This window comes from Homo sapiens, chromosome 10 (assembly GCF_000001405.40).
Source record: "Homo sapiens chromosome 10, GRCh38.p14 Primary Assembly".
NCBI classification, from domain to species: domain Eukaryota; kingdom Metazoa; phylum Chordata; class Mammalia; order Primates; family Hominidae; genus Homo; species Homo sapiens.
The window spans coordinates 119012086-119027171 of record NC_000010.11 but is presented as its reverse complement, the minus strand read 5'-3'; the positions used below and the strand labels follow the sequence as shown (position 1 = coordinate 119027171).

Genomic DNA, 15086 nt, shown 5'->3' with positions numbered 1-15086 from the left:
TTAAGGCTACAGTGACTATGTGACAGAACTAAGACTCTGGTCCTGTTACTCCCGGCCGGGTGGCCTTCTCACTACACCCTGGACCAGCAAGGTATCTCAGACAATAAGTCTGTGCATGCATCCGCAGAACTCTAAGGCACAACACAGGGGAAGCTGGAAAGAAGTGAGGTGAGGTGAGGCGATATGGCCTTGGCTGGGGCCCCTGCCCTCAAAGAGCAATCCAGGGCTCTGGCTGGCAGGCGCGGGAAAGGACCTGAAGCAGTGAAGTGAGGCCTGTTCTGGCCGCCTCTCTGGGTTAGGGGTTAAAGATCCATGTTTCGGCCTCTTCCTTCTAGCCCCCGATGGTTGATGTAAGTCATGAAACCAGGCAGTAATATTCAGCACTTGCCAACCCAGATCCTTTTCCAAGTTTGTGTTGGCATGCAAGGTAGAAAGTCATTCCTTTATTTCCTCCCCTTCTCCACCAAAAATAAATAAAAGAACCTCCATGCCGCAGGGCTCCTGCAGACGCCTGGCAGGTTTGCTGACCCTGAACTCGGAGCTTTTACCACGAGAACGCCAGCCCCCCAGAGTGGTATGAAGATGATTATTCTATGAATGGAAAATTCCGCTCGGTTCACACAGCCCTGCAGCCTGCATCCTTTCAAGACATGCAGACTTTTCAAGCTCTGAAGATGGGGAGCCACAGTTCTGAGAATAACTTTGGCAGGAAAAGTTTAAAATTGCCAGCTGCTGTGTCTGATCCCCCTTGGTCAGGCCAGAGAGGCGATGGCACAGAAGCGGAAGCCTTCTTGCCTCCCAACATGGTTTTCGGCCCTTGTGGTTGTACGGGGAGAATAAAAACTTTTAAGGGATAAGAATAGGAACAAACACCTTGGCTGGGACCTGCAGCCTGGGTATGTGGGAAGTGGAGCTGGGATGGAGATGCCCCAGAAGGAGGTGGAGAAATGAGTGTGTCTTGGGGTCCGCCATGGGCTGTTTCCCCAGGCTGCTCCCCTTGACTGCTATACGAGGTGAGTAGACATTTGACCCAGAAGGGAAGTCGGGAAGTGGAGGCCAAGTGCATGAAGGCTTTTGTCGTGGAGCACACGCTGGGCCTCAGTACCCTGGGAGCCTTTGCTCTCAGTGACCATAGAAAGGCCAGTGTGGGCACCTGGCCCAGCTCTGGGTTAAATAAACAGTGACTTTTGTCACCCAGCAACAGGCCTCAGCCTGGCTGTGAGCTCTCTAGCTCTTTGAGGTGTTGGCACGATTTCAGAGATGTTCTTAGCACCTCTGATGAAGTCTCACTGCCTTTTGCTCACTTTCCAGGAGTCTGGAATGAAACAGATGGAAACAGCCAGTCTGTGAACGTTTCTTCAGGTATCCGGCAGAGGTGAGAAGACAGGTGGGCATGGGCTACACCTCAGAAGTTAGAGGGTGCTGCTTGGTTTCTTCTGGAGTGGGGCAGTGGGGCCTGCCTGGCACAGGCTGAGGGCTCTGGCAGGGCAGGGGTGGGTGGTGGGGAGGGTGCCTGGGTTCTGTGCTCCCACCTCTCCACATGGCCCCCAGCCCGGGCCATTTCCTTTGCTGGCAGCAGAACTGAACCCTGTGAGGCAGCTCACAGACCTCAGGCTCCTGAGGCTCTTCAGAAACATGAGGTCAGCCCTGGGGAATGAGGCAGCTTGGCCGGGGTCCAGGCGGCTATAGCGATGCTGTTTGTCAGGTTCTGGGTTCCCGCTGACCCCCTGCCAGGACTTTGCCAGGGACAGGAGGTGCTTTGGCTCCGTCAGCCATGGGCCTGGAGGTGGGTGAGGTGCATTTGGGCACGAGGAGCCCTCTCCTGGCTGACTTTGTCCACATCATGGCTCTGTCAAGCTCAGAGAGTCCTGGGATGGGGCTCCTGCCCTTTGGGGGGCTTGGGCTTAGGGTCTGCTGTTGTGGAGAAGCCATATGGTGAAGTGGGGAGAGCTTACTGGGCCTCGGGACAGGGTTTGCACCCTGGCGCTGGTGCAAAGTCACGTGTAGTGGACAAGGGGCTTAACCTCTCTGGGCCCCAGATGCTGCTTTTGGTCAGTGAAGGGCTCTTGTCGAGTAAAATGGCAGCCACTCCCCCTCCTTGCAGACTTAACTTTGTTCTGATTCCTTCCCTCAGCCTCGGGGCATAACTGTGACAGGTTTAAGCAGAAACATCCCATTTCCCCTAGTCACCACTGGGTAAGGGGAGGGCTGGTGACCCATTCTCACCCTGGAGATCTCAGCGGACATCTGCTGTCTGCTGGGAGGATACTGGGAAGGGGTTTGCTTCCTTATATAAAAAGGGGGAAGAAATAAAGAACCAGGGCCCTCACCTTCTTCAGCTCAGGCTATAGAGCTGAGGTGATAAGGCTTAAGGACACAAAGCTGGCGCAAGGTGATGGCTTACCAGAAAAGTTAAAACAAAAAACAAACCTTAGTGATATTTTTGTTGATGACTTGGTGACTTGTTACACGAGATAATTATAACATCTCTATTATTTCAGCCACTTCAAGTCAGGTATCCTTTTATTTATTTATTTATTTGAAACAGTGTCTCACTCTGTCACCCAGGCTGGAGTGCAGTGGCATGATCTCGGCTCACTGCAACCTCCACCTCCCAGGTTCAAGCGATTCTGGTGCCCCAGCCTCCCGAGTGGCTGGGATTACAGGCATGCACCACGATGCCCAGCTAATTTTTGTATTTTTAGTAGAGACAGGGTTTCACCATGTTAGCCAGGCTGGTCTTGAACTCCTGACCTCAGGTGATCCACCTGCCTTGGCCTCCCAAAGTGCTGGGATTACAGACGTGAGCCACCACACCACGTCCAGGTATCCTTTTATACGTGCAGTTGACTTCATTCTTAATCAAGCTTGTCCAACCTGTGGCCAGGTGGCCTCATGTGGCCCAGGACAGCTTTGAATGCGGCCCAATACAAATTTGTAAACTTTCTTAAAACATTATGAGATTATGCACAGACCTTTTTTAATTAAGCCCTTCAGCTGTCATTAGTGTGTTTTATGTGTGGTCCAAGACAGTTCTTCCATTGCGGTCCAGGGAAGCCAAAACATTGGACACCCTTGTTCTAAATGAAACATGTAATACTGTGAAAAAAAATACATTTGGTTATTCTGTCGAAAAGGTAGGCTACCATATTCTGGCCAGGTGGAGGTGACGACCATGTCAGAATTCTCTGTGTGTGGACAAGGCTGGAAGGGGATGCGGAGAATGGGAAACGGGTGCCGTGGTGTCATCTCACACCCCCTGCCTTGGGCTAAAGTCTCCCAGCTGGTAATAATACCACCACCATCAGCACCAGGTGCTTGACATGCACTATTCCATGTGCCCCCCACCCCCAACCCTGCCCCGCAAGGCAGGTGCGCTGGTGACCTGTTGGAGACGGGGGCAAAGCTCAGCATGGAGCCCAAGGCTGAGAAGCTCAGGAGCAGCAGGACTGAGATTTGCACCCATTTTTCTCTCACTCCCCGAACCTGGGTTTGTGCCTCCTTGGATGCACCCGGTCATTCTTGGGACTTCTGGGGTCCAGATGTGCGGGAGACTGGCCAGCAACACACAGCGGCAGGGGCAGGAGAGGACACATTCCAGTCCGTGTCAGCAATGTCCCCTGAACAAAACCAACCCCATTTAAAAGCAGTCTGGGTGTTTCTGTTTATCCAGTAGTGGGTACTTTGGTAAAGTGAGTAATCCTTTCTCCCTCCAGCACTTGCCCTCCTCCCTGCCATGTGGTTTTCTTTTAGAAATCTGGAGTGTCCCAATTTTGTTTAAAGCAGGAGCTGCCTGGAGGCTGACAGGCGGAAGGGCAGATGTCCCTGGGCTGATGATGCTGATAATAGCAATAACAGTAGCTCACAGGTGCTGAGCCCTTACCGTGCACTAAGCATTCACTCATATCATTTCTGAAATCCTCCCAGCAGGCCTACAATGATAAGCATTTCACAAAAGGGAAAATGAGGTTTTGGGAGGCTAAAAGCATGCCCAGCAGCTCACAGCTAGCTGGTAGGTGGCATTTCTTCAAGGCCCGCACTGTTAACCCTCACACCTCCTTGATCATCCCCTGGCCCGTGGATACTCATTCATTTGGAATTCACTACATCCGGCCTCCCCACCTCCTCCTGTGCTTCCCTAAATGGGGCCATCAGCCTTCTCTCACCCGTCGTCAATCCCTGCTGTCTGCAGGGGGAGGGAAGTAAAAAGCTGACAGGAAGGAGTTACATGTAAAATGGTAACCTGTAGATTGAGACTGTTCTCCAACAGGTCTGAGGGCTCTAGGCAGAGGGAGGGGAAGCGGGGATATGAGGGCTGTGGAAAGGATGGGACCAGACTGCCAAGCAAAGAATGCTATGTGTGGTTCTGCAGGTTGTGTACAGTTCTGCAGGTTGTGTACTGCACAACCGCTTCCCATCTAAGGGGGCACCTTTACTTCATAGACATAGTAACTCTGTGATCATTTTCTGGCCGACCTTGAGTAAAGTATCTTCTAACGAAATCAGTATATTATGACACTTCACTGACAGATGGAAAAAGATACCTTGTGGAAGAAGTGTCTTTTCCTAATTTGCTCAAAGCCCAAAGCTTTGGCTCTGGCCGAGGTGTGAAATGCTGAGCTTCTTGAAGGCGGGCCTCAAGTTTGACATTAGTACCCCTTTTCTTGTTTCCCCATTCTGAAGCTTCAGGTGGAGAGTCTCCTGAATTCAGCTGATCAGGTGCTGGGCACAGTTCTGCCCTGGTTGTTACTGGTGGATCAGCTGCCCCTTGGGACTAACATTTAACTTTATTTTTGAGACAGTCTTGCTCTGTCGCCCAGGCTGGAATGCAGTGGCACGAGCTTGGCTCACTGCAACCTCTGCCTCCTGGGTTCAAGCGATTCTTCTGTCTCAGCCTCCTGAGTAGCTGGGACTACAGGCATGCACCACCACGCCTGGCTAATTTTCATATTTTTAGTAGAGATGGGGTTTTGCCATGTTGCTCAGGTTGGTCTAGAACTCCTGGGCTCAAGCAGTCCGCCCGCCTCACCCTCCCAAAGTGCTGGGATTACAGGCGTGAGCCACCTCGCTGGGCCGGGACTAACATTTTAAAGATTGCTCAAGTCATTTTAGCCATCTTCTTCTGGTCTTATCTGATTTGCACTGATCCTCTCCCAGCCGTCCTGAGTTCTCCAGGGATTTTGTGTGCTCGGAGCTGCCTCTCCACAGTTGTGTCTGTCTTCAGGCTTCTACGGCTTAGTGACCAGAAGGCAGGTGGGCCCCAGGGAGCGGATGGAGGATCCAAGCTCTGTATAAATTGAGTAGCCTCGAGCAAAATCAGTTCCTGTCTCTGGATCTTAGTTTTAAATTTCAGTTTAAAATAATTGGGCTGGCCTAAGTGATTTCTTGGCCCTTTCCATCTCTAAAATTCATTTATTTACCATCAAGGTCTGGGGATAAGTGGCAAATAAGACTGACGTACTTCTGACCTCATGGAGCTTACACTCGAATTGGGCAGACAGACAAGTAAACAGGCGATGACACTTGGTGGGGGCAGGTTCGCTTCCTGTTGCGGTTGTAACAAATTACCACCCATATAGTGGCTGAAAACAACACACTGATTTTCTCAGCGCTCTAGATGTCAGAAGTCCACAGTGGGTCTCACTGGGCTGAATTCCCTCTGGAGGCTCTTGGCGGGGAACCTGTTTCCTTACCTTTCCCAGCGTCTGGAGGCTGCCTGCCATTCCTGTGGTTCGTGGCCTTTCCCTTCTCAAAACCCAGGGATAGCAGGTAGCTGAGTCCTTTCCACGTGGCACCTCTTTGTTCTTTCTTCTGTCTCCCTCCTCCACCTTCCAGGACCCTGGTGGTCCCACTGGGTTCACTGGGATAATGCAGAATGTGCAGAATGATCTCCCAATTCTAACATCTTTTTTTGTTTGTTTTTGAGACAGAGTCTCGCTCCATCACCCAGGCTGGAGTGCAGTGGTGCAATGTCGGCTCACTGCAACCTCTGCCTCCCATATTCAAGCGATTCTCTTGCCTCAGCCTTCCGAGTAGCTGGAATTACAGGTGCGTGCCACCATGCCCAGCTAATTTTTGTATTTTTAGTAGAGACAGGGTTTTGCCATGTTGGCCAGGCTGGTCTCAAACTCCTGGCCTCAAGTGATCCACCTGCCTCGGCCTCCCAAAGTGCTGGGATTACATGTGTGAGCCACTGCGCCAGGCCCCTATTCTAACATCATTTAATTAGCAACCTTAATTCCACCTGGAACCTCAGTTCTCCTTGGCCATGTCAGGTAACAGATCCACAGGTTGTAGGAATTAATATGCCTTTTGGGGTCATTATTCAGCTTACCACGGGGAAAGTGCAGAGGGCTGTGAACTCCCTGGCAACAGCACCCCACCCACACACGGGTGTGTCATGACTCCCAAGACCTTGGCATAGCCAGAGTGCAGCTGGGCTGGGGAGGTCAGGTTTCCTCTGTCAGTTGGGACCTGACACAGTACAGGGGAAGCTGTGAGGTGAGGGAGCACTACACAAAGTGTGTGTGTGTGTGTGTGTGTGTGTCCCTCAGGCAGATGGAAAGTGATTGCAGAGGAAGGGTCTGAGTTGCAAAGAGGATTAGTGAGCAAAGAAAGGCATACTTGTGTGGGAGACTCAACATACTTAAAATATTAGGTTGGTGCAAAAGTAATTGCGGTTTTAACTCTTTAATGGCAAAAACCACAATTACTTTTGCACCAAACTAATAATAATGATGTTATTTAATTTGTCATTAAAACAAAAAAAGAGCCAAGTGCAACAAAAATACCCAGCAATAATAGAACAAGCATCAGGAGTGAGAGACTGGAGTGAAGTGCTCCAAAACCCTTATATTGTTCAAGGAGAGGGGAAAGATACTAACTTTAATATTTTATAACCTATGGGAAATTTCAAGAATTACAGAAGTAAAGATCATAGCATAATGCATCTTTTTTTTTTTTTTTTTTTTTTGGAGACAGAGTCTTGCTTTGTCGCCCAGGCTGGAGTGCAGTGGCGCAATCTCGGCTCACTGCAAGCTCCGCCTCCCGGGTTCACGCCATTCTCCTGCCTCAGCCTGCCGAGTAGCTGGGACTACAGGCGCCTGCCACCGCGCCCGGCTAATTTTTTGTATTTTTAGTAGAGACGGGGTTTCACCGTGTTAGCCAGGATGGTCTCGATCTCCTGACCTTGTGATCTGCCCACCTTGGCCTCCCAAAGTACTGGGATTACAGGCGTGAGCCACCACACCCGGCCAGCATAATGAATCTTAACCCAGTTTACCCTTAATAACTGGCTACTCTTATTTTTAACTATCTCCACACCTGTTTTTTTTTTTCCCTATCTCCTATACTATGGATTATTTTGGAGAAAATCTTGACTATCAATATTAATTAAATTTAGATTTTGAGAGGTTAAGCATGTAAGTTAACATTTTTAGGGAACCAATTTGGAAAAAAAGAGAAAGGAAATAGAGGGTATAACTTTCTTTCTTTTCTTTTTTTTTTTAGACAGGGTCTTGCTCTGTCACCCAGGCTGGAGTGCAGTGGCATGATCACAACTCACTGCAATCTCAACCTTCCCAGCTCAGGTGATTCTCCCACCTCAGCTTCCCAAGTAGCTGGGACTAGAGGTGCACAACACCATGCCCGGCTAATTTTTGTGTGTTCTGTAGAGACAGGGTTTCACCATGTTACCCAGGCTGGTCTTCAACTCGGGGGCTCAAGTGATCCACCCTCCTTGGCATCCCAAAGTGCTGGGATTATAGCTTTCAAAATAATAGATGTAAAGAAATGGAATGAGGAAAGGATAATAATTACAAAAGAAAGCATGACAGAGGGAAAAATAATCACATAAATGGTAGAACAAATTGGAAGTACACAATAAGATGGTTGAAGTACGTCCAAACATATAATTACTGTAATAAATGTAAATGGACTAAATGTTTTTATTAAAACACAAAGATTTCAGACTGGATTTAAAAATCTGCTATATGTCCTCCATAAGAAACTCTAATGAAACATAAGGATACAGAAAGGTGAAAGGTGAAAGGATGCAAGAAGTCATGGGAGGAGACACCACCAAGGAACAGCTGATGTTGCTGTGCCAACAGCCAACAAAATGGACCTATGGCTATGTAATGTGAAAGGTTCAGTTTACCAGGAGGCTATAACAGTTCCAAGGTAATATATACTTAATAATTTAACTTCAAAGTATAAATAAAAAAACTGATAGAATTGCAAGGAGAAATAGGAGAAATAGACAAATCTACATTAGTGGGAGATGTGACAACTCTCTCGTAGGTAAAATAGACAATATTATTAAGGATATAGAATATATTTAGTAATATTGAATAATGATATGTATATAATTATATATACATATAAATATACAAACACTGCCTTGAATAACTGCAGAATTTACATTCTTTTCAAGCACTCAGAGCATTCATAAAAGTTGACTGGGGCCAGGTGTGGTGGTGCATGCCTGAAATACTAGCTATGTGGGAGGATCACCAGATCCCAGGAGTCTGAGACCAGCTTGTGCAACCTAGTGAGACCCCCATCTCTTAAAAAAGAAAGTTGATGGGATTCTGTGCCATCAACCAGGTATTAACAAATTTCACAGGATTGGTGTCACATAGGATTCTCTGGTCACAAGTCCATTTCATTAGAAATCAACAATGGAAGAAACTAGAAAAGGATACAATACAGAGAAGTGAAGGAATTAGTGAAATAGAAAAGAAAAGATATGATAAATGATTGACAAAGCCAAAAAGTTGATTTTTTTCTTCTTCTTCTTCTTTTTTTTTTTTTTTTGTAGAGGCAAGGTCTCACCATGTTGCCCAGGCTGGTCTCAAGTCATCCACCTGCCTCGGCCTCCCAAAGTGCGGAGATTACAGGCATGAACCACTGTGCCCAGCCTAAAAAAGTTGATTCTTATAAAAGACTAATAACATTAACAAATATTTAGCAAGATTTATTAAGAATAAAAGGCATGACAAACAATTCCATGACTATAGATACTTCCTCAATTTTAAGATGTGGCTGAGCGCAGTGGCTCATGCCTGTAATCCCAGCACTTTGGGAGGCCGAGGCAGGTGGATCACTTGAGGCCAGGAGTTCGAGACCAGCCTGGCCAACATGGCAAAGTGCCATCTCTACTAAAAATACAGAAATTAGCCGGGTGTGGTTGTGGGCGCCTGTAATCCCAGCTACTCGGGAGGCTGAGATAGGAGACTTATTTGAACCTGGGAGGCGGAGGTTGCAGTGAGCTGAGATTGCACCACTGCACTCCAGCTTGGGTGACAGAGTGAGACTCTGTCTCAGAAAAAAGAAAAAAAAAGTTAAAAATATATATGAAATGGGCAATCTGCTAGAAAAGTAAAACTCAGTAATTTAAAAACCTCAGTAATCCTGTAACCAGTTAATAAATTTAATCAGAGTTAAAAATTTCCTCACAAAGAAAACACTAGATCCAGATGACTTTGAAGATAAATTCTGCTACTAAAAAACCAAATAATTCCAATTCTACACCAAACTTTTATAGGAAAAAGATCATTTTCTAATTCATTTTATGAGGCTAGTATAAAGCACAAGAAGTATAAGAAAAGAAAATTACAAACCAAACTCACTCATGAACATATGTGTAAAAATCTGAAACACAATATTAAACCAAATTAGTAATGAAAAATATTTAATTAATCAGGTCTAAGATGAATTTACCTCTGGAATGGAATCTTGGTTTAACATTAGAAGTCAATTAATGTGAGGCCAAACTCAGTGGCTCATGCCTGCAATCCCAGCACTTTGGGAGGCTGAGGTGGGTGGATCACTTGAGCTCAGGAGTTCAAGACCATCCTGGGCAACATAATGAAACCCCGTCTCTACTAAAAATACAAAAATTAGCCAGATGTGGTGGTGCAGGTCTGTAGTCCCATAGTCTCCGCTGCTTGGTACAAGAATCACTTGAACCTGGGAGAGGGAGGTTACAGTGACCCGAGATCATGCCATTGCACTCAAGCCTGGGTGACAGAGCGAGACTCTGTCTTGAAAAAAAAAAAAAAAAAAAAGTCAATGTAATTCACCACATTCATATATTAAAGAAAAATATGATTACCTTGGTAGATACAGAAAACACATTTGATATAATTCAACATACAGTTATGATTAAGACTCTTGGAAAACTAGAAAAAGAAGGGAGTTTCTTTAATTGATACAGCGTATCTACAAACCTTGTAGCAAATATATTTAACACCTCTAATCATCGTGTTCCTGGAGGTCTCACAGGTCCTAGCTACTGTAGTATGGCAGAAGAAATAATTAACATTAAGCGAATCAGGAAGGAAGAAATGAAACTGCATAAGATCATATGTTTTTTGTGTAAAAAACATAAGCACTACAATCAAGTGTTAACATGAATAAGAGAGTGTAGTGAGTTTGCTGGATACAAAATCCATACATAAAAATGAATTGCATTTCAATATATCAAAACAAACAGAAAATGTGATTAAAATATTATTTATAACGGTGTTAAGAAAGCTCCCCAGAGTGTTTTATCCAATTCTGCCCACTCCTTCTCCTGCTCTCCTGTGGTAGGTTTAATTTTATCCTTTCCCTGGGTCCAGCTTTCTTTTTTTTCTCTTGAGATGGGGTCTCACTCTGTTACCCAGGCTGGAGTGCAGTGGTGCCATCTCGGCTGACTGCATCAGCTTCACAAGTAGCTGGGACTACAGGTTTGAGCCACCAATGCCAAGCTAAGTTTTGTATTTTTTGTAGAGACAGGGTTTTGCCATGTTTCCCAGGCTAGTTTGAACTGGGCTCAAAGTGGTCTTCCTGCCTCGGCCTCCCAAAGTGCTGGGATTAAAGGCGTGAGCCACCGTGCCTGGCCTCTGGGTCCAGCTTTCTACTTTCTGGGGATTCCCCCTCTCTACCACTCCCAAAGTTTGTGGTATGATAGTGTTAACTGTAGTTCTGGACTGGGTTTTTCTCTTCTTTTATCCTGCTCTGGAATGTAGATGTTTAATAATTCACCTTCTCTATCCTTCCTCAAAATGTGGGATAACACAATGACTGTGGCCCTCGTTGGAAATTAAACTTGTTTATGCAAAAAACAAAAAAACAAAACCAAAAAAAAAGCTCCCCATAAAGAAAGCACCTGACCCATCTGACTTTTCAGACAAGTTCTATTCAAGGAATATATATATATGTATATATTTTTTTTTGAGACGGAGTTTCACTCTTGTTGCCCAGGCTGGAGTGCAATGGTGCGATCTTGGCTCACGGCAACCTCCGCCTCCCGGGTTCAAGCGCTTCTCCTGCCTCAGCCTCCTGAGTAGCTGGGATTACAGGCATGAGCCACCACGCCTGGCTCATTTTTTTGTATTTTTAGTAGAGATGGGGTTTCTCCATGTTGGTCAGGCTGATCTCGAACTCCTGACCTCAGGTGATCTGCCTGCCTCAGCCTCCCAAAGTGTTGGGATTACAGGTGTGAGCCACTGCGCCCAGCATTATTTTTTTTCTTTTTGAGATTGAGTATTGCTCTGTAGCCCAGGCTAGAGTGCAGTGGCTTGATCTCAGCTCACTGCAACCTCCGTCTCCCAGGTTCAAGCGATTCTCCTGCCTCAGCCTCCCGAGTAGCTGGGATTACAGGTGCGTGCCACCACACCTGGCTGATTTTTGTATTAGGGGTTTCACCATGTTGGTCAGGCTGGTCTCCAACTCCTGACCTCAGGTGATCTACCCACCTCGGCATCCTGAAGTGCTGGGATTACAGGTGTGAGCTACTGCGCCCGGCCAGGTATAAATAATTCTAATCTAATAAACTATGTACAAGACCTTTATGGAGGCAATTATAAACCTCCATTGAAAGAGATTAAAGAAAACTAAACTGGGGATATGCCATGTTTGTGTGTTAGAAAACTCACTATTATAAGGTTGTCAGTTCTCCCAAATACACCTATTTAGATTGAATGTAATTCAAATCAAAATCCTCACTTTTTGTGTGTTTATGTGTGTGTGTGTCAAATGTGACAAGCCAATTCTAAAGTTTATATGGAAAAACAAAGACCAAGAAAGTGAACACACTCTTGAAGAAAAAGAACTAGATGGGCAGGGAAGGGATGGGGCTTGCCATGCCAAAGATAAAAATTATTCTAAAGCTTTAATAATTCAGATGCTATTGACCACCCATAGATTGGTTGCCTATGGACCAGCATTAAAAGTGCAGAAGCAGACCCACTCATATAAAGAAACTTGTTCTGTGGTGGGAACTTGATCTATGCTGGACTTTACAATAGACAGTGTTTGGTAATTGAGAATCCTTACGGAAAAAAAAATCAGACTTCTATATCACATTTTAGATAAGAATCAATTTCAGGTAGATTAAAGACTTAGCTGTGAAGGCAAAACTCTAGCTTTTAGAAGACAATATGGGACAATTCCTATGATTTCAAGGCAAGGAAGTATTTCTTAAACAAGGCAAACACACAAAATAACCCACTAACAATAAAGAGAAGAATTAATAAATGTTACTTAATTAAAATGAAGAACTTCTGTTTCTTAGAAGACACCACACAGTAAGTAAAAAGACAAGTCATGGCCAGGCGTGGTGGCCCACTCCTGTAATCCCAGCACTTTGGGAGGCCAAGGTGGGCGGATCACTTGAGGCCAGGAGTTAGTGACCAGCCTGGCCAACATGGTGAAACCCTGTCTCTACTACATATACAAAAATTAGCTGGGTGTGGTGGCACACACCTGTAGTCCCAGCTGCTTGGGAGGCTGAGGCACAAGAATCGCTTGAACCTGGGAGTTGGAGGTTGCAGTGAGCCGAGATCAGGCCACTGCACTCCAGCCTGGGTGACAGAGTGAGACTCCCTCTCAAAAAAAAAAAAAAAAGTGAGAGGAGCTGTTTGTAATACATGTCATTGACTAAGGTCCTAGTGCCCAGAAGATATAAAATAACTAAAAATTGATATGAGATATACACACAAATAGAAAAATTTGTGAAACGTGTGAAAAGGCACTTATAGCAGAAGAAATGTAAATGGATATTAAAAGGATAAACTAGATTATAATCGGGAATTCAAATTATAACTAAAATGAGATACCACTTTACACCATCAGATTGGCAAAATCAAATATTCTATCAATATCAGACATTGACAAGAATGTGGTATAACTGGAACTTATATATTGCTAGAGAGAATTAAATTGGTATAATCGATGTGGAAAACAACTTGGAAATATTTAGAAAAGTTGAAGGCAAAAATAATTTGTGGCCTAGCAGTCAGCCAGACAGATGCTCCTGAGGACCAGGAAACACGATTAAGAATGTTTACACACTACCTACCAAACTAAAGTGGTTGTAGTAAAAGAAACTGGAAAAACCAAGTGAGGACATGAAGAAACTGGAACTTTTTTTTTTTTGAGAAGGAGCTTTGCTCTTATTGCCTAGGCTGGCGTGCAATGGTGTGATCTCGGCTTACTGCAACCTCCGCCTTCCGGGTTCAAGCGATTCTCCTGCCTCAGCCTCTTGAGTAGCTGGGATTACAGGCATGTGCCACCATGCCCAGCTAATTTTGTATTTTTAGTAGAGATGGGGTTTCTCCATATTGGTCAGCCTGGTCTCAAACTCCCGACCTCAGATGATCCGCCCTCCTTGGCCTCCCAAAGTGCTGGGATTACAGGCATGAGTCATTATGCCCGACTTTTTTTTTCGAGACAAAAGTCTCCCTCTGTCTCCCAGGCTGGAGTGCAGTGGTGTGATCTCGGCTCACTGCAACCTCTGCCTCCCAGGCAGAGCAATTCTTCCTCAGCTTCCTGAGTAGCTGGGATTACAGGCACCTGCCATCCGGCCCAGCTAAATTTTGTATTTTTTGTAGAGATGGGGTTTTGCCATGTTGGACAGGCTGGTCTCAAACTCCTGACCTCATGATCTGCCTGCCTCGGCCTCCCAAAGTACTGGGATTATAGGAGTGAGCCACCACACCTGCTGGAAAGGCACATCTTATATGGTGGCAGGCAAAGCAAGAATAAGAGCCAAGCAAAAAGGGAAAGCCCTTACAAAACCATCAGATCTTACGAGATGTATTCACTACCACAAGAACAGTGGGGGAAACCGCCCCTATGATTCAATTATCTCCCACCGGGTCCCTCCCACAACACCTAGGAATTACGGGAACTACAATTCAAGATGAGATTTGGGTGGGGACACAGTCAAACCATATCAACTACTCAGAAATAAAAAGGAACAGACTATAGATACTGAAGGTTAAAAACATTATGCTCCGTGCAAGAAGCCAAACACAGAATACTACATATTATCTGATTACACTTGTAGAAAAGGCAGCACTGTAGAGACAGAAAGCATATCATCGGCTGCCTGGGCTATGGGTGGGTGGATAGGGAGGACTGCCTGCAAATAGGCATGAGGAAACTTCTGGGGGTGATGGAATGTTCTAAAACTAGGTGGTGGTGATGGCTACACAACTATATAATTTTTTGTTTGTTTGTTTCTGTTTTTAGGCAGGGTCTGGCTCTGTTGCCCAGGCTGGAGTGCAATGGTGTGATCTTAGCTCACTGCAACCTCTGCCTCCCTGGCTCAAGTCATCCTTCCACCTCAGACTCCCAAGTAACTGGGACTACAGGTGCACTACCATGCCTGACTAATTTTTGAATTTTTTGTAGAGATGGGGTTTCACCACATTGTCCAGGCTAGTCTTGAACTTCTGAGCTCAAGCAGTCCACCCGCCTCAGCCTCCCAAAGTGCTGGTATTACAGATGTGAGCCACTGTGCCCTGCCAAAGCTGTATATAGTCCAATTATAATGGGTACATTTTATAGTAATATAAATTATACCTCAATAAGGTTGTTAAAAGTGTTCACACTAACATTGTTCCTAATTGCCCCAAACTGGAAATAGCTCAAATATTCATCAGCAGAATGGATAAATACACTGTGGTATGTCTGTTCAACAGAACCCATGAGCAGTATTAATAAGCAAGTAATAAGCAGTCCTCCCACCTCAGCCTACTGAGTAGCTGGGACCACAGGTGCACACCACCAAGCCTGGCTAATTTTTTTGTGTT

At 45.6% G+C, this 15086-nt stretch overlaps 1 long non-coding RNA gene across 3 annotated transcripts in view, besides 3 other annotated features; it reads left to right on the top strand.

Moving 5' to 3' along the window:
* LINC03036 (long intergenic non-protein coding RNA 3036) overlaps window positions 1-15086 on the top strand; it is a 245028-nt gene that overhangs the window by 2400 nt on the left and 227542 nt on the right. For 2 of the 3 annotated variants that reach the window (NR_186540.1, NR_186542.1), the window contains exon 2: window positions 1312-1375. This is a non-coding gene — a long non-coding RNA (long intergenic non-protein coding RNA 3036). Of the gene's footprint in view, window positions 1-1311; window positions 1388-15086 lie in introns of all 3 variants that reach the window. The other variant, NR_186541.1, reaches the window with a different exon arrangement.
* Window positions 1821-2394: an enhancer, noted in NCBI's record as "H3K27ac-H3K4me1 hESC enhancer chr10:120784290-120784863 (GRCh37/hg19 assembly coordinates)". NCBI's record gives its function as "activates a minimal SCP1, AML or CMV promoter by ChIP-STARR-seq in primed H9 embryonic stem cells {active_cell/tissue: H9 hESC(primed)}" and the evidence as "EXISTENCE:reporter gene assay evidence [ECO:0000049][PMID:30033119]".
* Window positions 3580-4222: an enhancer, noted in NCBI's record as "OCT4-NANOG-H3K27ac-H3K4me1 hESC enhancer chr10:120782462-120783104 (GRCh37/hg19 assembly coordinates)". NCBI's record gives its function as "activates a minimal SCP1, AML or CMV promoter by ChIP-STARR-seq in primed H9 embryonic stem cells {active_cell/tissue: H9 hESC(primed)}" and the evidence as "EXISTENCE:reporter gene assay evidence [ECO:0000049][PMID:30033119]".
* Window positions 4223-4865: an enhancer, noted in NCBI's record as "OCT4-NANOG-H3K27ac-H3K4me1 hESC enhancer chr10:120781819-120782461 (GRCh37/hg19 assembly coordinates)". NCBI's record gives its function as "activates a minimal SCP1, AML or CMV promoter by ChIP-STARR-seq in primed H9 embryonic stem cells {active_cell/tissue: H9 hESC(primed)}" and the evidence as "EXISTENCE:reporter gene assay evidence [ECO:0000049][PMID:30033119]".